The sequence below is a fragment of the Homo sapiens genome, chromosome 5, assembly GCF_000001405.40.
Source record: "Homo sapiens chromosome 5, GRCh38.p14 Primary Assembly".
In the NCBI taxonomy this organism is placed as follows: Eukaryota; Metazoa; Chordata; class Mammalia; order Primates; family Hominidae; genus Homo; species Homo sapiens.
Window position 1 is genome coordinate 131,754,398 of NC_000005.10, and position 22,479 is coordinate 131,776,876.

At 37.6% G+C, this 22,479-nt stretch overlaps 1 protein-coding gene across 4 annotated transcripts in view, besides 1 other annotated feature; it reads right to left on the reverse strand.

Annotated features, from left to right (window-relative positions):
* The window catches only part of FNIP1 (folliculin interacting protein 1), a 155,304-nt gene that overhangs the window by 112,684 nt on the left and 20,141 nt on the right, over nucleotides 1-22,479 (reverse strand). The window lies entirely within an intron of this gene.
* Nucleotides 3,811-3,860: an enhancer, noted in NCBI's record as "active region_23059". NCBI's record gives its function as "activates an Ori minimal core promoter by ATAC-STARR-seq in GM12878 lymphoblastoid cells {active_cell/tissue: GM12878}" and the evidence as "EXISTENCE:reporter gene assay evidence [ECO:0000049][PMID:35858748]".

Sequence of the window (22,479 nt, forward strand, 5' to 3'; positions counted from 1 at the left end):
TACAATAAATAATAAATAACCTGCCCAAAATAACACAGCTAGCTAGTAAATGTGTCAAAGCTGGGTTTAGATTCCAGGCAGTCTTTCAGTCCATTATCTAAATCATTGTGTATGGCCTTGGCCTATTGAGTAGGAAGTGATACTTCAAGTTTCAGCTTCAAGTGATGGGCAGGGGAGAAGGGCATTCTCTTCTCTGGAAGAAGAAAACAGCATCTGCTGTAATTCTTAGTGACCCTAGCTCAGAAGTGTGCAATGAAGCAACAGGCACAGCTATGAAGGCAGGCTGGAGCATCAGATCAACAGACATAACCAGTTCAACACACACATACAGACTTCTTCATCCAGGCAATGAGTAAACAAAGGTTTTAAACAATAGCTGACAAGATCACTTGTGCATTTTAGAAAATCAGAAACTTGAAGAACTGACAAGATAGAGAGAAGCCTGGAGAAAAGAATGTTATATACCCTGAACTAAGGAATAGCACTGAAAATAGAAAGGGATAGAGCTAGATCTTATTTAGAAGGCAGAGATAGGACCTGAAGACTATATGGGGAATAAAGGATGAGAATGGCTGACTCTCAGCTTTCAGATTTCATGAAAGGAGATACCATTAACCAAGATAAAGAATATCTCAGGAGGGGGAGTAAGTTTGGGATAAGGGTGTTGCCAGATTGAGTTCAAGGGGGCTGCGAGACAGCTGAAGAAAAGATGTGCAACCGATTGATGAAAAATGGTCTGGTGGCCGGGCACAGTGGCTCACGCCTGTAATCCCAGCACTTTGGGAGGCCAAGGTGGGTGGATCTCCTGAGATGAGGAGTTTGAGATCAGCCTGGCCAACATGGCAAAACCCCATCTCTACTAAAAATACAAAAATTAGCCGGGCATGATGGTGGGCGCCTGTAATTCTGGCTGCTTGGGAGGCTGGGACAGGAGAACCACTTGAACCTGGGAGGCAGAGGTCACAGTGAGCCAAGATCACGCCACTGCACTCCAGACCAGGTGACAGAGCAAGACTCAATCTTAAAAAAAAAAAAAACGAAGAAGAAGAAAAAGAAAAAGAAAAATGGTCTGAGGAGAATGGCTGGGAACAGAGTTCCAGACACAGGAGTTACTGACACACAATTGGTAGTGAAATCTTCAGGCAGAACATATTAATTGAAAATAGAAAAGAATGTGAAGAACTAATAAACTAGAATTTTAGGATACATCAATATTTTAAGAACAGAGAGAAGAAAAGCAGAGAAGCCAGGGAAGATCAGTAAAGACAGACTACTAGAGAGGAAAAGAAAACTCATGGTAAAGCACTGTTACAAAAGTTAAGGAAGATGGGCCAGGCACGGTGGCTCATGTCTGTAATCCCAGCACTTTGGGAGGCCGAGGCTGGTGGATCACCTGAGGTCAGGAGTTCGAGACCACCCTGGCCAACATAGTGAACCCTCGTCTCTACTAAAAATATAAAAATTAGTTGGGCATAGTGGCACATGTCTGTAGTCCTAGCTACTTGGGAGGCTGAAGAAGGAGAATCGCTTGAACCTGGGAGGCAAAGGTTGCAGTGAGCCGAGATTGAGATTGTACCACTGTATTCCAGCCTGGGCGACAGAGAGACTGTGTCAAAAAAAAAAAAAGGTTAATGAAGATGAAAAGAAAGGAATCACGCACAATGCAAATGTTGCAGAAAGACCAAAATTTATGAAGAGTAAAAGTGTTCATGGAATTTAGCAATTTGGTGTCTTTGGTACTCTTGCTGGAACAGTTTCAGTGGAGGCAGTGGGGAAGGAATAACCATATAGCAATTGATTGAAGAGAAAGAGCTGAGAAAGACAGTATATAATATTCCATGTAAAAAAGGAACAGTGAGGAATAGTGTGACCATATAACCAACCATCTAAACTGAAGTTTTAAAACTAAAAAGGGATCCTAAACAGACAGAAATAAACTGAAATTATCTTGAATCACCAAGATGCATGGTCACTCAGGTAGAAGAAGTGAGGCTACAAGAGCCCTTTTTTTAAAAAAAGGAAAAACGTGTATGTGTATGAAATACACAGGTGTATAATATAAAGGAAAAAAGGCATCTATTTCCTTTCTAATATTTCCAAGTTGAGGGGAAGGAATCAGAAAAAGAATTTAAAGGTAATCAGAGAGAATTTTTGGATTAAGATCACAGAGAAGTTAAGACACAGTATCCCGGGCAAGGGTGCCCCTAATGAACAGCAGAATACACTTAATGAGGTAGGGAAAATGACCCACAGGTGAAAATTACTGCAGGTAAGTATGCAAGCTGGAGAGATGAAATCGAGCATTTATAGCTGATCATTCATGTTTTATAAAAAGCAGCGGTCAAGCATATTTACAAGCATATGTGAGGTGGGTGGCTTGAATTGGAGTACAGGATTTGAGATATAAAAGTCCAGCATAATCATCAAAGAAAATGGGGAAAGGAGCTAGCCCAAGAAAAGCAAAAGGACTATCAAACCATATTTGGGGGCCCAGCTGAGTGGAAAGCCTTAAATCTGTGATAGGACTAATTTTCTGTACTACCACAGAAGATTCCAGGTGTGAAAGGGCCAAAAGTAGGCAATGGATTAAACAGTAGATTTTCTGAGCAGCCACAATGAAAAGGAGCAAGGCTGTTAAGAGTGACAGTGAGAAAGAAAAGTCAGGACTGACTAGCTGAGGAAATGTGGCCAGAATGGAGCTGATAGGAGAAAAGGAAGTATAAAACAAACACATATAGTGGTCTCAACGAAGTTAAAGCACAAGTCTGAATAAGGATATGAGAGATCAAAGGATATGAAGTTGTGGTCAGAATGGGAAGATCTCAGAAAGAGAGGAGAGTCAGTTAGCTAACAAGGCTCAAGGTACAGCCAAGAAGAACACATAAAGGTAGAGAATAAGAGAAGGAACTGGAAGGCCAAAATGTTAGATGTATGGGCTGCTTAAGATGACTGCACAAAGTGATCTGGAAAGAAGGACTATCAGCCAAGTGTCAGAGTTCTTGATGAACAGTGGGCAACCATCTGGTACATGTCAGCCATGGATGCCAATAACAAAATAGAGGAAAGTGTGGTACAATATCATAGGCCTCATAAAGAACAGGTTTTCATGAGAGGACAAGAATAGTTTCCAGGCAATAGTGACAGGGCCAAGTTACTAGGCCCAAAGTTGGGTAGTGTGTGGCAAAATAAACATTCCCTACTGGAAGGGCAAAAGGAAGAATTACGGCCTCTGAAGGCCAAAAAAAAAAAAAAAGGTGGACAAATTGGGAAGAAAGTGGGGACACAAGGAAGGAGTTCTAAATGATGCAAAGAAAAGGCAGCATAGGCATTATTAGACGGGGGAGGGAAGGATGGAGTAAAACATGAAAGCTCACTTCATAGAGGGGCTTATATTTTGGGTCATATCTGAATAAGATAGGAATGTCTAAAGCAGAGATGAAAATAACATAGCTTTATGTTTAAACACAAATCTTGGTGAAGCTGTTTTGGTCTAGATCAGACATCCCTAGAGTCATAAACAAAAAATGAAAACAAAATGCTGGTCAAAATTATCTGGGAAGACATGTGTACTTCTGCAGAGTATGTCCCTGAAATGGTGAAGTGTTACTAATAAAGTTCTGATTCCCTTTACCTTATAATAGAAAGAAGTTGTGACATGGAAATCTATAGACACATGAAATTAACGAAATAAACTTATTACCTAAAAGTTGCCTGACAAATTAATTGCTTAGAATATGATATTAAACAACAAACAATCACAACAGAGTGGCTCTTTTAATAGGCAAATAAGTTTAAATGGTAATAGTCATTCTAAATTTATTCATTTCATCAAATGAAAGAAGTGAAGGAGAAGCAAAACTGACCTACCTAAAGTTGCTGTTCTGGATACAGCTGGCTGGTGCCTCTTCTTTTCACCTGTAGCCCTACTCTGTCTTCACTGGTATTTGCTTATGCTCAGTACTCAAGTGTTTAGAATGATCTCTCATTTTACCAGAACCTAAGTCTTCTGATACTGCCTTCCACTTCATCATGTTCCTTCTTTTTTATCAAAATTTAACTGAAGACAAATGTAAGCCAAATCACTAACAGTGTTAAGTATACCACCACCATTCACACAAATTTATATGCTACAGAAAAACTTTTCTTAGTAATTACTATTAAGCAATTGTATTTAGCATATTTAAACGTTGGTAAGAAAACTATTCAGTGATGAACCACAAGCTATTTTAAGACTTTACCCAGATGTTATTTATAGTGTGTCAGCTTATCTGCTCTGCATGTTTTTTTATCTGACACCTTCAAAGAATGCTAATAGAAAATAAACATGCTGGAATAGACACTTTCCTTTACACACTGACGCTGCACCTCAGAAGACCATGTGAACTCCTGTAACACACATTACTGACAACTAAAATAGGACTAAGCCATGCATTCTCAATGCGGGCAAGATCACTTCCAAGAGGGCAAACTGGTTCTTGGTGGGGAGGGGAAGAGAAAAATACTTAGATATTAAGTGGGATGTAGCCCTCAAAAGGGCCACAGTACATAGGCAAATACACAGCATATCTGTGGTGTTAAAATTTCATGGAGGGGGAATGGTGCTTAACAAAAAAGGGTGTTAATCCCTATTAAATAAAAGGTGCTGGGATAACTGGCTAGCCTTATCTGGATCCTTACTTTTTAACCGTATAAAAAAATTAACTCAAGATGGAGTAAAGATTTAAATGTAAGATCTCAAACTTTAAAAATCCTAGAAGAAAACCTAGAAAATACCCTTCTCGACATTGGCCTTGGCAAAGAATTTTTGGCTAAGTCCTGAAAAGCAACTGCAACAAAAACAAAAATTGACAAGTGGGACCTAATTAAACTAAACAGCTTCTGCACAGCAAAGGAAATTATAAACAGAGAAAACAGACAACCAACAGAATGGGAGAACATATTCACAAACTGTGCATCTGACAAAGGTCTAATATCCAGAATCTGTAAGAAACTTACACAAATCTACAAGCAAAAAACAACCCCATTAAAAAAATGGCCAAAGACATGCACTGACACTTCTCAAAAGATGACATCCAAGCAGCCAACAAACATGAAAAAATGCTCATCATCACTAATCATCAGATAGAGACAAATCAAAACCACAATGAGATACCATCTCACACCAATCAGGCTGGCTTTTATTAAAAAGTCAAAAAACAACAGATGCTGGTGAGGCCGTGGAGAAAAAGGAACACTTATACATTGTTAGTGGGAAGGTAGTTTAGCCACTGTGGAAAGCAGTTTGGAGATTTCTCAAAGAATTTAAAACAGCTACCATTTGATCCAGCAATTCATTACTGGGTATATATCCAAAGGAAAATAAATTGTTGTACAAAAGGATACATGTATTCATATGTTCATCACCATACTATTTATGATAACAAAGACATGGAATAAACCTAGGGGCCCATCAATGGTGGACTGAATAAAGAAAATGTGGTACAGATACACCATGGAGTAATATGCAGCCATAAAAAAGAATGAAATCATGTCCTTTGCAGCAACATGGAGGCGGCTGGAAGCCATAATCCTAAGTGAATTAACACAGCAACAGAAAACCAAATACCACATGTTTTCATTTATAAGTGGGAGCTAAACATTGAGCATACACTGACATAAACATGGGAAAAATAGACACTGTGGACTACTAGAGGGAAGAGGGAAAAAGCATGGGTGGAAAACTACCTATTGAGTACTATGCTCACTACCTGGGTGATGGAATCCATACCCCAGACCTAAGCATCATATAATATGCCCATGTAACAAACCTACATATGTACACCCTGTATCTAAAATAAAAGTTGAAATTAAAAAAAAAGAAATCAGGGTGTTAATTTTTAAAAAGGCTCCTTGGGGGAATATAAGTGAAAAAAAAGTATTGAGAAATACTGGGCTAAACACTAGTTTGTATCTCAATACATTAAAAATTGTCACCTATAAGGAAAATACCGAAATAATTCACTTGTGTTTCTAAGTGATCAACTCTTTTCCTTATCAATCATTTTAAAATTGAATTTCATGAACCTGTAAATAAATACCAGTTAATCTCTTCTCTTTCTCTACCCTTATTTCCATTTGACCATCCATATATTTTCACCTCTAGTTAGCATCAGAGGGTCTTACTATAGAGTATACTTATCAAACATGAAGATTTTTTTAGTTCATGAATTGGGTAATTATCTGTACAGTGCCTATTATGTGTCTTGAACTATGTTAGTTGTTCTTTCCTGAGCCTTATCCATCATTGTTATTTCTCACTGAAAACACGGAAGGTGATACAGATCATTCTGAGAAACCATTAACATCCTATGCTCCTACATGGAATAGAAAAAGAGGAGCCAAGTTTCAAAAGCTATGCATGTAGAATTAGGGATTCACCACCACCACCAAGCAGTGAAAAACATTCTGAGTTTGATGACAGGAGGGAAAGAGGGAAGAAGGGAAGGAGGGAAGGAAGGAAAGAGGGAGGGAGGGAGGGAGGGAAGGAGGGAGGGAGAGAAGTATGCTAAATTACGCGGCAAGAGCCAAGCCAAAAACATTCCCAATACAGCAACATGCCAATAACTGGCCACCATCAGAAACCAAAAGCACCACAGCCAATTGAAGAAATATTTTCTGAACATTGGTAAAGTTTTCTGAGTTTTTAAAAACCTCTGAATAGATTTTACTTTAAAGAAATCTGCTAACTGACCAACTTTTAAATATGTCTTCTGACAGCAAAGTATATGGTCATATAATGCTCTATTACTTTACACAACATTTAATTTTTTGGTCCTACAAAGAAATAGCATTCATCATTCCCTCTGTAAAACATACTGACCAGGAAGTCCTAGCTGGAGCAATTCAACAGGAGAAAGAAAAAGAGGGCATACAAATTGGAAAGGAAGAAGTCAAATTAAGCTTGTCTGCAGAGACATCATCTTACGTTTGGAAAAACCTAAAGACTCTATGAAAAAACTATCAGAACTGGTAAATTCAGTACAGTTGCAGGATAAAAAGTCAACATACAAAAATCAGTAGCATTTCTATATGCCACCAGTGACCAATCTGAAAAAAGGTTTTTTAAAGTAATCCCAATTACAGTAACTACAAATAAAACATCTAGGAACTTCACCAAAGAAGTGAAAGGTCTCTACAATAAAAATTATGAAACAGTGATGAAAGAAATTAATGAGGACATTAAAAAATGGAAACATACTCCATGTTCACAGATTGGAAGAATCAATATTGTTAAAATGTCCACACTACCCAAAGTAATCTGCAGATTCAATGCAATCCCTTTCAAAATACCAATGACATTCTTGACAGGAATAGAAAAAAAAAAATCCTTAAATTCATACGGAACCACAAAAGATCCAGAATAGCCAAAGCTAACCTAAGCAAAAAGAACACAACTAGAGGAATCACATTACCTGACTTTAAATTATACTACAGTGCTATAGTAACCAAATCAGCATGATACTGGTATAAAAACAAACACACAGACCAATGGAAGAGAATACAGAACCCAGAAACAAATCCTACAGTGAATTCATTTTCCAACAAAGCTGCCAAGAACATACATTTGAGAAAGGACAGTCTCTTAATATAAGGCCCTGAGAAAATTGGATATCCATATGCAGAAGAATAAAACCAGACCCCTATCTCTCACCATACACGAAAATTAAATCAAAATGGATTAAAGACTTAAATCTAGGACCTCAAACTATGAAACTGCTAAAAGAAAACATTGGGAGAACTCTCCAGGATATTGAACTAGGCAAAGATATTCTGAGAAACACAGGTAATTAAAGTGAAAACAGACAAATGGAATCACAACAAGTTATAAAAAGTTTCTGCACAGTAAGGGAAACAATCAACAAAGTGAAGAGACAACCCATAGAATGGGAGAAAATATTTGCAAACCACCCATCTGATGAGGGATTAACAACCAGAATGTATAAGGAGCTCGAACAACTATATAGGAAAAAAATCAAATAATCCAATTAAACATAGGCAAAAGACCTGAATAGACATTTCTCAAAAGAAGACATACAGATGGCAAACAGGTATATGAAAAGGTGCTCAATACCACTGATCATCAGAGAAACGCAAATCAAAACTACCATGCAATATCATCTCACCCCAGTTAAAATGGCTTTTATCCAAAATACAAGCAATAATAAATGCTGGTGAGGATGTAGAGAAAAGGCAACCATCATATAGTGTTGGTAGGAATGTTAGTATGACCACTACGGAGAACAGTTTGGAGGTTCCTCAAAAAAACTAAAAACAGAATTACTGTATGATACAGCAATCCCACTGCTAAGCATATACCCAAAAGAAAGGAAATCAGTGGGAACCAACCTAAACGTCCATCAACAGATGGATAAAGAAAATGTGGTACTTATACACAATGGAGTATTATTCAGTCATAAAAAAGAATGATATCCTGTCATTTGCAACAACATGGAGGTCATTATGGTGAAATAAGCCAGGCACAGAAAGACAAACTTTCCATCTTCTCACTTAATTGTGGGAGCTAAAAATTAAAACAACTGAACTAGTGGAGATAGAGTAGAATGATGGTTACCACAGGCTGAGAAGGGTAGTGGCAGGGGGAGTGAGGATGGTTAATGGGCACCAAAATATAGTTCAGTAGAATTAATAAGATCTAGTGTTTGATAGCACAACAGGGTGACTACAGTCAACAAGAATTTATTGTACATTTTAAAATAACTAAAAGTATAATTGGATTGTATGTAACACAAAGGGTAAATGCTTGAGGAGATAGATACCCCATTTACCTTGATGTGATTATTACACACTGTATGCCTGTATTAAAATATCTCACATACTTTGCAAATGCAAATACACACACACACACACACACACACACACACACACACACGACTACAATGGCCAGCAAAAGATTGGCAAATGAATGCATATTATTGGTCCCTTCTCACATTGCTGTTAAAGGAATACCTGAGACTGTGTAATTAAAGAAAAGAGTTTTAAATGCCTTACAGTTCTGTAGGCTGTACAGGAAGCATGATACTGGCATCTGCTCAGCTTCTGGGGAAGCCTCAGGAAAACTTATATTTGTGGAGAAAGGCGAAGAAGGAGGCACCTCATGGCGGGAATAGGAGGAAGAAAGAAATGGGGGAGGTGCTACACAGTTTTAGGTCTCATGAGAACTCCACCCCCATGATCTAATCACCTCCCACCAAGCCCTACCTCCAACACTGAGGATTACAATTCAACATGAGATTTGGGCAGGGACACAGACCCAAACCATATCAATATTTACATGTTTTAAGCTAAAAACAAAATGTTACAATATATAATTTTTAAATTCCTCACTTCAGTTGACTTTTCCATTAATATGCAAGCCTCAATTGAAACAACTGCGAGCATATGGTCCTGTTATCAGTAATTCCTAACCATTTCTAGTAAGATACCTTTTGATATAGTTTGGATCTGTGTCCCTGCCAAAATCTCATGTTGAAAGTAATCTCCAGTATTGGAGATGGAGCCTGGAGGGAGGTGACTGGATGATGGGGATGAGTTTCTCATGAATGGTTTAGCACCATCCCTTTGATGCTGTCCTTGCGTGAGAGAGCTCTCTTGAGATCTGGTTGTTTAAAAGCGTGTGGTACGCCCCCTTGCCTTTTTTTTGCTCCTGCTCTAGCCATGTGAAGTGCCTGCTCCTCATTCATCTTCTGCCATGACTGCAAGTTTCCTGAGGCCTCTCCACAAGCCAAGCAGATGCCAGCATTATGCTTCTTGCACAGCCTACAGAACCATGAGCCAATTAAACCTCTTTTCTTTATAAATCATCAAATCTCAGGTATTTCTTTATAGCAATACAAGAATGGCCTAAAACACCTTTTTTTTTTTTTTTTTTGAGACAGGGTCCCACTTTGTCACCCAGGCTGGAGTACAGTGACATGTTCATGGCTCACTGCAACCTCGACCTCCTGGGCTCAAGTGACTCTCACCTCAGCCTCCCAGTAGATGGGACCACAGGTGTCCACCACCACACCTGGCTAATTTTTGTTTCTTTAGTACAGATGAGGTTTCGCCATGTTGCCCAGGCTCATCTCAAACTCATGGGCTCAAACAGTCTGTCCATCTCAGCCTCCCAAAGAGCTGGATTAGGGGTGTCAGGCCTCCATACCTGGTCATACCTATTTAATGTTTTTTAAAAATTAAGTACACAGTAACTAACAAAATACGACTGAAAGATACTATGAATTTAGTATAGCACTACTGAAAAGAACATCTATACGCATTTGAGAACCAGAACTACACATGCATCAATTATTTACTGTTTATAGATAGTACTCAATATTTTTGTAGAATCGAGGACTAGATACAATAACTCCTCACTCAGATATCAAAATTTTGCCATTTTCAGGCATGAAAATGGCTGTTATACTGCTCTATGACACTATACTTGGTGAAATTAAAACTTCCTTAAAGGTAAGTAGAAGCATGCTTTCTTTAAGATGCATCATACGGCTGGGTGTGGTGGCTCACACCTGTAATTCCAGCAATTTGGGAGGTTGAGACAGGAGGACTGCTTAAGGCCAGGAGTTCAAGACCAGCCTGGGCAACATAGTGAGCCCCTGCCTCTACAAAAAATGAAAAATTAGCCAAGTATGCTGGTGCACGCCTGTAGTCCCAGCTACTTGGGAGGCTGAGGTAAGATGATCACTTGAGCCCAGGAGGTCCAGATTGCAGTGAGCTGTGACAATGTTACTGCACTCCAGCCTGGATGACAGAGGGAGACCTTGTCTGCGGGGGAAAAAAAAAAGCATCATGAAAACTTTTCTTTCAGTTAATGGAAGTGTTTGAGGGAGAAACACCTTTCTAAGACATGTTTCCTTTTCTATTGATTCATATTACATGGGTTTATAGATTCAGCTATAAAAGGCAAATGTAAGCATGCTTTCTTTCAGATGCATCATAAACTGTTTTCTTTCAGTGAATGTAAGTGTTTGATGGAAAATCACCTCTTTAGGCAAACCCTGAGGATATGTTAGAACATGTTTCTTTCTCCATTAGTACCTACTAGGATGAGTTGAGAAATCCAGCAATAAAAGGCAAATGTAAGCATGCTTTCCTTAAAAAGAAATCAAAACTATTTTAATTCACATTTTAAAGAATATTAAACCCTTTTAATCTGCGTGTAAATATCCTTTCTTCTATTCTGATGTCTTCACTTTAAGTATCTGATATTGGCTTCTGTTCCAATGGTTTATCTTTACAGTACATAACTCTAAAGCACATAACAGGTGATACTTTCTTCACCTTTTCTTTTTCCTCTGTATTTCAGCAGAATTTCATCCTTGACCTTCATGACACTTACTAAATACCCCACTTATCAACTCTACTTTTTATTAACAGCCCTATAAAACCTAATTTTGTCACATAAATTTTCATTTCTGTGCAATCTTTATGTTCTCCATCTCCCTTTTCATTGTAATCTTACATCTTCTTTGCCAAGTATCTTCTTCTCATGCTCTGCTGTTTCAGAAAACATTCTTTCTTGCATACTATTGAGGATGCCAAATTATCTGATTACAAATTTTGATTCCAACTAGTAAATTTCAGAAACCTAATCTTTTTCTAAGTCTGCAGATTAATATTCCCTTTCCTCTATTCTATAGTGTTACTGCTTTTTCTTTTTTTTTTTTCTTTTGAGACACGGTCTCACTCTGTCACTCAGGCTGGAATAGTGTAACCTTGAACTCCTGGGCACAAGTGATCCTTCTGCCTCAGCCTCCAAGTAGTGAGGACTACAGAAAGGGTCTTGCTATGTGGCCCAGGCTGGTCTCAAACTCCTGGTCTCAATCAATCCTCCTGCCTTGGCTTCCCAAAGTGCTGAGATTACAGGCATCAGCCACTGCAGCTGGCCTGTAGTTTTTAAAGCCCTGCCCCTACTTATCTTTAACAAGCAGAGACTTCTCCAATCCAAATGTTTAAATTTCCCCGGTCCCAATCTACAATTCAGTTGAATGCTGGTTAAATCTCCTTCTAAGTTATTTAGCCAGGAAGCAGTCAAGCCCAAATGTCATAGTCTAGAAGGTTTCTGTACTGGTCAGGGTTCTCTAGAGAGGTGGAAACAACAGAATATATATACAGATATATGAGAGGGGATTTATTAGGAAAATTGGCTCATGAGATTACAGAGGCTGAGAAGTCCCATGACAGGCCATCTGCAAGGTGGAGACCCGAGATGCAAGCAGCATGGCTCAGTCCAAATCCAAATACCTCAGAACCAAGGAAACCAATGGTGTAATTCTCAGTCTGAGGCCAAAGGCCTAAGAACCTGGTGAGCCACTGGTATAGGTCTTTGAGTTCAAAGGCCAGACAGCCTGGAGTTCTAATGTCCAAAGGCAGGACAATGTTCCAGCTCCAGAAGAAAGACAGAGGAAATCCCATTTCCTCTGCCTTTTTTTTGTTCTGTCTAGGCCCCCAGCCAACTGGATGGTGCCTATCTATGTTGAGGGCTGATCTGCACTCCGTCCACAGACTCCCACACCAAATCTCCTCGGGAAACACTCTTCACAGACACACTCAGAAACAATGCTCTTCCAATTTCCAGGTATTCCATAATCCAGTCAGGCTGAGACCTAACATTAACCACTACGGCTTATATCACTGCAACTCTACTGCACTCCACTTGAAAGTATCTCCTACTATCAGGCTTAAAAGAAATTTTCTTGGCCAGGCGTGGTGGCTCACGCCTGTAATCCCAGCACTTTGGGAGGCCGAGGTGGGCAGATCACGAGGTCAAGAGATCAAGACCATCCTGGCCAACATGGTGAAACCCTGTCTCTACTAAAAATACAAAAATTAGCTGGGCATGGTGTGCACCTGTAGTCCCAGCTACTCGGGAGGCTGAGGCGGGAGAATCGCTTGAACCTGGGAGGCGGAGGCTGCAGTAAGCCAAGATTGCACCACTGCACTCTAGCCTGGTGACAGAGTGAGATTCTGTCTCAAAAAAAAAAAAAAAAAAAAAAAAAAAAAGAAAAGAAATGTTCTTAAGCAGGTAGGACCATCAGTGACAAGACATCATTTTGTACCAGTTTCTATATAATTCAATTTGATCTTGTAAGCTGTGGAAATTCCTTCCAGATTGACAACTGGTTAATCACAAATTAACCTAAATACCATAGGAAGAAGCTGTAAGAGATAATGAATGTAATAAAACTTCAACCACTTTGCTAAACAAGTGAGTAAATGCCTATTTCAAGGAGTACCATTTTAATGCTGGAAGCCTGTATATATAGTAATCATTTTTCTATCTAAGGAATTATAATTCTCTAATCTGACAGGAAAATAATTCCATGACTGATTTGCTAATCTCAGTTCCAAAGACTTTAGTTATCAATTTAGGACTTATTTGTATCACAAAATCTTGATTAATATTTATATAGGCTGTTTATATCCAATTATTTTTCTCTAACTACATCTTAATATACTAAATGTTGTAAGAACACTAATCTTTAGACTTATTTTGTCACAATAAATTCAACTATACTCAGGGTATTAATGTAATTCTAGTGACTGTAATTTACATTTCAATGACAGGGATAGTCAGCTGCTTGGCCATAGTATTACTATCATCATTTAATCAAATTAGATGTGAAAAAAATACCATAACAAAAATATAAACTATTACCAGCATTAAAGTTCCAAAATTCATTTATATTTATTGTACAATTTAACATGCATAAAATTATATGCACAAAAAATTCATTAACATGAATTCTTGGTAAAAATGGCACATTGGCAAATAGTAGATTTCTACACCATAAGAGCTATCATGTATCATAATATGCTATCATATTTACTTAGTATTTTTCAGCAATACGTATACCTAATTGAAATGTACCTGGCCTATGTGGTTTAACTTTCTGACATTAACTCTATATACCTGTGAACTTAAAAACTACAGCAAAACACTGGAAGAATGTTAAATGAGCTAAAACAATAGAGACCCAGTATCCAAGTTGTTTAACTGGGTCATACACAGTTTTTTTTTTTTTTTAAAAAGGGGGGAACTTGTATAATGTGACTTATTTAAAATAAAAAAACAGGCCAGCATGGTGGCTCATGCCTGTAATCCCAGCACTTTGGGAGGCTGATGCGGTTGGACCACCTGAGGTCAGGAGTTCAAGACCAGCCTGGCCACCATGGTGAAGCCCCATCTCTACTACAGATACAAAAATTAGCCAGGGGTAATGTAATCCCAGCTACTCGGGAGCCTGAGGCAGGAGAATTGCTTGAACCCGGGAGGCTGAGGTTGCAGTGAGCCAAAATTGTGCCACTGCACTCCAGCGTGGGCGAGAGAGCAAGACTTCGTCTCAAAAACTAATAATAAAATAAAATAAAATAAAAACAATGTACCTAAATTAGTATAAGGCCATTACTAATTCAAATTATTTAACTCAAATGACTAAGTGGGGACACACATTTAAGGTGTTCACAAAGCATCAAAAATAATTCTAAATAAATTCAGGTCCATGTCAGTAAAATTAGAGAATACCGTTAACTATAAAAATAACTGGATTATGATCAATACACTAATACAATGTCAAGCTTTTAATTTACATTTTACTTATAAATATATATATGGGATACAAACAGAAAAGCACACTGCTTTCCAAAAATCTGCAGTGAAGGTTCCCATGTAAACATACCAAGAAAGAAGAGCAACAAATGGCAGAAAGAGAATCATAAAATAAACATAAACCAAGGACTAACATACTGTACAGTATTTATGAATTACATATTTTAAAACAATAATTAATACTTGCTTAAAACATTTTCAAGAAGTCATTCTAATAATTAAGGTTATTATCATAATTTAACTTTCAATAAAATAAGTATCTAAAATCTTGGCATTTAAAATTTTCAGATATTTTAAAGCAAATATATCACCAAATTAATAACTAGATTTGGATTATTTTGATGTTAACACACTTGAATATCACATTAAGTTAAGCTCTACATTAGTGGCATCCTATTTCTCTTAAGCAGTTCCACTTTTCAAAATCCCTAAAAACTCCAGTCATGCACAACTGTCAACCCAGGTTAATAACAGCAATGAACCATATTTATCTGAAACCACAAGACTGTCAGATGACATACCAAGAAGTCTGAATTTAACTCAAATAAAAGGCTCTCCATGCTGCAATGCAAAAAGGCTTAATCCCAGCAATGGAACCATGAGGGACCGGGAGCCTTTAAGAAATCTGTTGCCCATGACAAAATCTGTTTTTGCAAAAGGCTCCATCTATCCAGTCCTACCATTTCACAAGTAACATCCTGCTTTTTTGTTTCACTGAAGAGTCTGGGATTTTTACAGAAGCAATTACGACTGCTTTTCAATTCCTTTATCTCTTCTACTATAAGTACATGACTACGAGAAAATCAATCTAAGTATTCTGTTCAACTAAGTGCTGTCCTGGCAGCTAGTGCAGACCAGAAATGCCAATGTATGTATTTTTTAAGGATGCTTTAACTAAACAAGGTCTGGTCCAGAGTAAGAGTGCTCAGGCAACCAATGGCTTAGAACCCAGGTCTTCAACAATCCGTATCTATAACAAATTGAGGTTCATGCAGTAAACAAGAAAACACAATAGTTCCTTTCTCAACTTCTGTATGTCCCAACTCTGCTATTTCAGACAAGTCCACATACACATTCCTGGAAGCCATAGCAAGCTTGTATTCTACCCAGCTGACAAGCAAGTTGAAAAGCAGGCCCTAATGATCACAGGGCCCAGACTGGTCAGTATGTAAACTGGCTCACTAATCTGAACTCTTGTGTTGAGTTCAAGTAGACAAGTCTAGCAGAAAATACTGCCTTTTAATTTATAAACCTCAATAAGACTACCATATTGTAATACATTAAGTAGCTGGTTCATGAAATAGAGACATTTTAGAATGCTTTACAAGCACTGTCTTTCAGTGGGTTTGTATTTTAATATGTATCAGCATGTTCTTTTAGAAAAACCAAGGGGTGCATCTGTGTATGTATCCCGATAGGACTAATTCACTAACAGAAATGCGTTAATACAATGGGCTATTAATCTATAAGGTAACAGACAATATGCTGAAACCAAGAATCATTCCTCACACCCAACATGCCAAAAACAGAAGAATGGGCTCTGAATCAGCCAAACTTAGATTTAAATTCCAACTGTGCCACATACTGATTCTCTGTGATTGTAGAGAAGTGCCTTAACTTCTCTAGTCCTCAATTACTTGTCTATAAAGTAAGACTACCTCTAAGATTGGTATAGGGATAATGTTTCTCTCTTCAACCCTTAGAATGTGCATCACACACATCAAGATCTCCAAAGTGATTATCACGTGAAGAAAAGCAAAATTCAAAACTGTATGTATACCATCAGTGTAGAGGCAAACAAACATATCAGTTTGTTTGTATGTGCACCAAACATTTTCAGGAAAGATGAATTAGAAACAATACAAAGATATAAATTCTTTTTTTTATTATTATACTTTAAGTTTTAGGGTACATGTGCACATTGTGCAGGTTAGTTACATACGTATACATGTGCCATGCTAGTGCGCTGCACCCACTAACTCGTCATCTAGCATTAGGTATATCTCCCAACGCTATCCCTCCCCACTCCCCACAACAGTCCCCAGAGTGTGATGTTCCCCTTCCTGTGACAAAGACATAAATTCTAACTAGTAAACTCAGAATTAACTATTAAAAGATGTAACCCCAAGGAAAAGAAAATTGGAGAAAGGGAAACATCTATGCTTTCTACATTATGATTGTCTGTACCTCTAGTCTGATACTAAAACTTCACATTCATTTCAAGAAGCACTTCTTTGAATCCCCAGGATTGTATATCCTTTCCTCCAAGGAATACAAAATAGCTTAATAACCATCATACTCTTAAGGCAGAACATGATTTGTTTTTCCACTGAAGGGTTTCAGGATAGGAAAGAACTGGCCAGAGAAAAGCTTGATGCCCACTAGCTTGAAAACCAGCAAAGTGCCACAAAACTAAGAAACAATGGATGAAAAAGGAACATGTTCCAAAACAGGAAAACCAGTATTTGAATTAATTAGAAGTTTACTTCTCTAAAGTCAACCTACTAAGTCTACTCATCCAGACACTCAGATCAAAAATCTGTAAGTCCTCTCAATTCACTTATAACAGCACCCAATCATACTAGTTCTCCTTTTACCTTAAAGAAAAAAGCGTTCCTCTCCCTCTCCACGTCTACAGAGTTGATCCATCCCTTCTAGTCTCCTGTTAAATCTTCCCTATTCCTTATACCTCTGATTTGTTTCTTTCACCTATTTATCTTTAAAAAGTTTTACGTTACTGTCACATTTACCTTCCCTTCTAAACCAAACATGAAAAACAGTCCTAAGCACAGCCTCTTATGTTCCATTCCACCTACGCACATTTGACACTATGACCTCCTTGCACTCTACTCCCTAGTACCATTATCTCATACCATGAGACGGGAGTCCAAGAAATTACCATTTCCTGGCTATCCTTCTGAATTCAGATATATTAGGGTTTGTAGCCCAGGTAGGTGTGTTTCTTAAAACCTTCACACATACAAAGGAATACTACTTTGCAACAAAAATACACTACTGATACATGGAGGAATAACATGCATAGAGGAATGTCAAAGGCATTTATACTAAGTGAAAGAACCTGATACAAAAGGCTACACAATGTATGATATCATTTATAAGACATTCTGGAAAAGGCCAAACTGTAGGGATAAAAATCACATCAGTTCTTGCCAGGGGCTCGATGTGGGGGAGAAGAGAATCACTAAAAGGTACAGGGAACTTTCTGGGGTAATATTCTATATCTCAACTGTAGTGTTGGTTATATGACTATACATTGTCAGACTCATCAAACTGCAAACCTAAAAAAGAATAAATTTTACTGCATGTAAACTGTATCTGAATAAAACAAATTCAAACCAAAAAAAAAAAAAAAAATTACTGTAATGATCTAAAAGTGATTGATCTAAAGGGTAAAATTTCAAAATCTCTCACCCCAATTGCCTACTAAGAAAACTGTTACCTGAATCTCAGCCTACCTCAAACTTACTAAGTACAACTAAATTTCTCTATCTTCTCCACCATGCCTACTCTTCCCTCCTGCATTCCTTACCTTAATAGCTCTATGTTTTGGCACTACCATGGCCCATGCACCAGTCTCCCAATTGGGTAGATTGAGGCCACAACTTCTTCTCCTTCACATCCCATATTCAGTCAAGCATAGAATCCTCTTCTCCCAGATATGGATCGCTGTTTCCCATCTCTCTGCTACCATCATGACCCTGCCCTCTCTAACCTGTAATAACTGCAACAGTGCTTCACTGGCCTCTGCTTCTAATTTCTTCCCACTCTGTCCCATTTTTCTGTCATGACATCAACTGAGATAACTTCCTAAAACACAAAGCTGATTGTACCATATCATTGTAAGTTACCAGTTGCCTAGTATACACAAAACTCTCCTTATAATCTGAGCCCCAGCATTATCTCAACCTCTCATCTCTTGCCATTCCCTTAAATGTGTATCTTGACTCTCAATAATCATCAAACCTGTCATACCCTTCCTGATGCTATTCCTATGAGCATGCCTCAATTCTGAGTACCTCTTCCTTACTTCATCCAACCTGAAAATTCCAATGTATACTAAATTTAGAATACAGCTCAATGCTACCTCTTCTAACAGAAGTAATCTCCCATATATACCCCCAAATTATTTATCTAGCTCTATTAATAACTAACTGTTTAATGTTTACTGGACACTGTGAGATTATAAAAATGTAAAGATAAATGAGACAAAACCCCTGCTCAGGTTTCAATTATTATATAACTACCCACTGAAGTGTCAGTCTCACAGCCTAAACTAAAGCTCCTAGATCAGGGATTCTTAACATGCAATCTGCTGACCCACACAGATCTGTGGTTTGGTGTGCCTGTCAACTTGGATGGGGAATGAATTGTAGTTAGAGATTTCCACCAATCTCTAACTACCATTTAGCGTTTCCTTCTATTAAAATGCAGGCAACAAACTTCAGAGGTATAAGGTTCCTATAACTTTGATCACCAATAGGAATCATAGATAGTTTCATCATTGTACAGCTGATGTAGATACCTAGAAAAATGTGTTTATGCACATCATTATTCAAAATTACAATACTTATTAGATCCACTGCTAGGTCTTGTTATTTCATGAGTTAATAATATAGTATGTGCTACTATATTAGAAATTTAATATTCTGACAACTATCTCAACATAAGTTTACTTTATAATCCTCTATGAATTTCATTTTAAGTGTTTCTAAACATTTTTATAAGAAGAGGTTTGTGTATAGGTTTTACCAGGTTGCTAGAGGGGTATGTGGCAGGAAAAATGATTAAGAATCATTAGTCATTCTTAATCTCATTCTCTACAGGATCTCATTCTTCTATGAAGGCCCAGTACAGTGGCTGGCATTAAAAAGAGGGAGCAGGGGGAGGATGTGCCCAACATGTGCTTACCAAACAAATGAAACAATTATGTTTGAAGTCAATTGTTTAATTCCTTTGCATTTTGAGACAGAGTCTCATTCTGTTAACAAGCTGGAGTGCAGTGACGTGATCATAGCTCACAGCAACTTTGAACTCCTGGGCTCAAGTGATTCTCCGGCCTTAGCCTCTGAAGTAGCTGGGACTACATATGAGTGCCACCATGTCCAACTAATTGTTTTATATTTTGTAGAGACAAAGTTCTCACTTTGTTGCCTAGGCTGGTCTTGAACTCTTGGCCTCAATCCATCCTCCCATCTTGGCCTCCCAAATTGCTAAGATTACATGCATGAGCCACTGCGTCTGGCCTCCTTTGCATTTTTAAAACAAAGCCAAAATAGTCTTTATTTTCCAAATAGTGTAAAGGCAGTATATCCGATATAACATCTTATGTTACCTCTAAAAAAGTAACACTGAACAAGTCTTAGATTTTTAAGAGCTCTTTCAGATCAACTTTTGAAAGTCACACACCTATCTTTCATTTCACACCCTCCCATACGTTCTGTAAGATTTTGAAAAATTCATTCACAAAGGTTCTCTGTTATTATAAAAGAGTAATCAGGCTAACTAATAAAGGTAACCTCTAGTTAAAATGAAGTCATCCCAATGTTTGGTCTCCATGTTCAAGGAGGAAAGCAAGGTTAGACAGCTGCTGAAGACCAATAAAAGAATAAACACACAACTAAAATTATCCACTAGTATGATTTTTAAATACTTGCAAATTCTGAGAGCACCAGAATATTTAGTATATATCTGAAATATTTTAACAAACACAGTCATGGAATTTGAAATTTCTCCCAACAGAAGCTCTTTTCTTGAGAGGAAGGAGTCTGCAAAGCTTCTAAAGTCAGACATATGATACCCATAAATGTTTCCTCATGCTCTCTAACTGCTATGGTATCTTCTATTAATTTATAACTTATTAGTAATGTTACAAAGCTTTTACAAATATTATCTAAACAAATCAGTACATTTAGGTGTGCTACATATTGCTTCGGTATTAAGGTATATAAAAATGGATTTGATCCAAGCAAGTTGCCAGTTTCTCCGAAGTTGCTAGTTTCACGGAAGCATATGCAAAAATACTTATGATCAAAGAAGGATTCTAATGCATAAACTACAGTGGAACATTACTGTTTGTTTAGTATCTAGTTTCCAGTTCCAAACTTCTATAAATAAGATATGAGACAGCAAACAAACCTACGTAATACCAACTGGTACTAGAAGACAACAGAGCTTTTTTTGCCCCCTGGCAAACAGTTATTTATTGTGTATGCTATGTTTTCAGAAAGTTGAATAATCTTTCCTCTGAGCTTTTTAAATTAACATGTAAACATTTATCAGTATATATTTACTGAAAAAAAGTAAAATCCCAAAGCATCTTTTATACACAAGTGTAACAGTAAGGATAATAAAACAGTTCATTTAAAAATAAAATATGTATCATCTAATAATTCCATATTGAATTTATCAATATAAATATAAATATATATATACATATTATATATACTTTTTTTTTTTTTTTTTGAGAAGGAGTTTCGCTCTTTCGTCCAGGCTGGAGTGAAGTGGCGCACTCTCGGCTCAATGCAACCTCTGCCCCCCGGGTTCAAGCAATTCTCCTGCTTCAGCCTCCTGAGTACCTTGGATTGTAGGCGTCCGCCACCACGTCCGGCTAATTTTTGTATTTTTAGTAGAGACGGGGTTTCACCATGTTAGCCAGGCTGGTCTCAAACTCCTCACCTCAGGTGATCCGCCCGCCTCAGCCTCCCAAAGTGCTGGGATTAGAGGCAGGAGCCACCTTGCCCAGCCCTGTAGAGTTGTTTTGAGGATTAAATGAATTAATATATCTAAAGTCCTTAAAATTCTGCCTGACACATAAGCTACAAATAAATATTTTGCTATAAGTTACTTTCTCTTACCTTTTAAATCTGTGTTTATAGATATGCCACATTTTTAATCTACTATAGCACTTCACACATTCCTTCTGGTACTTAAATGACTTCAGCACAATGCAAAATAATGTATGCTATGTTCATATCTTAACTCATGTATTAGGCTGTGAGTTCCTTGGCAGCATCTTTGTATCCAGAAAGTTTGACAAAATGCTTTTAAAATGGTAAATTTGTAGAACTGCACTGCTTACTGCAACCATAGCAAAACTGACGTCACTGGTGTACTTCTGCATATTTTATATGGTAAGGTGTAGTTTTATCTATATCTTCTACATCCACAATTACATTGGGGTTAAACATATAATTCTGACACATGTGCAATGTGTATTACACAACATATTTAGGAATGCAATGTGTGTAACTTTGGAACTGTCATATAACATACATTCCAAACACAGAAATGCTGAAGAGAAACTATCAGCTAAAGTATTCAGCATCTGTCCACCGAAAGACATATATAAAAATATTCATAGCAGCACTATTCTTAATAGTCAAAAATTGGAAATAACCCTTTGACTGAAAAACAATACTCCATCAATAGACTGGGTAAATTGTATCTTCACATAACAAAATACTAAACAGCAGCAACTGCTACATGTGGCAATATGAATAAATCTGAAATACCTTGAAAACAAGCCAAACACAGTAGTGTGTGATTACAATATGATTCCACTGGGCTTGCTTCCACATCACATATACTAAAATTGGAACATAATTCCATTTACACAGAGTTAAACAGACAAAACTAATTTATACTGTTAGAAGTGAGGATAGTGGTTACCCCAGGCAAAGATGAGGGAGAGTAACTAGAAAGGCAAATGAAGTAGGTTCCAGGACACTGGTAACGGTTTGCTTGTGCATCTGGGTGCTTATTATATATTATATAAAGTGTGTTCACTTTCAGAA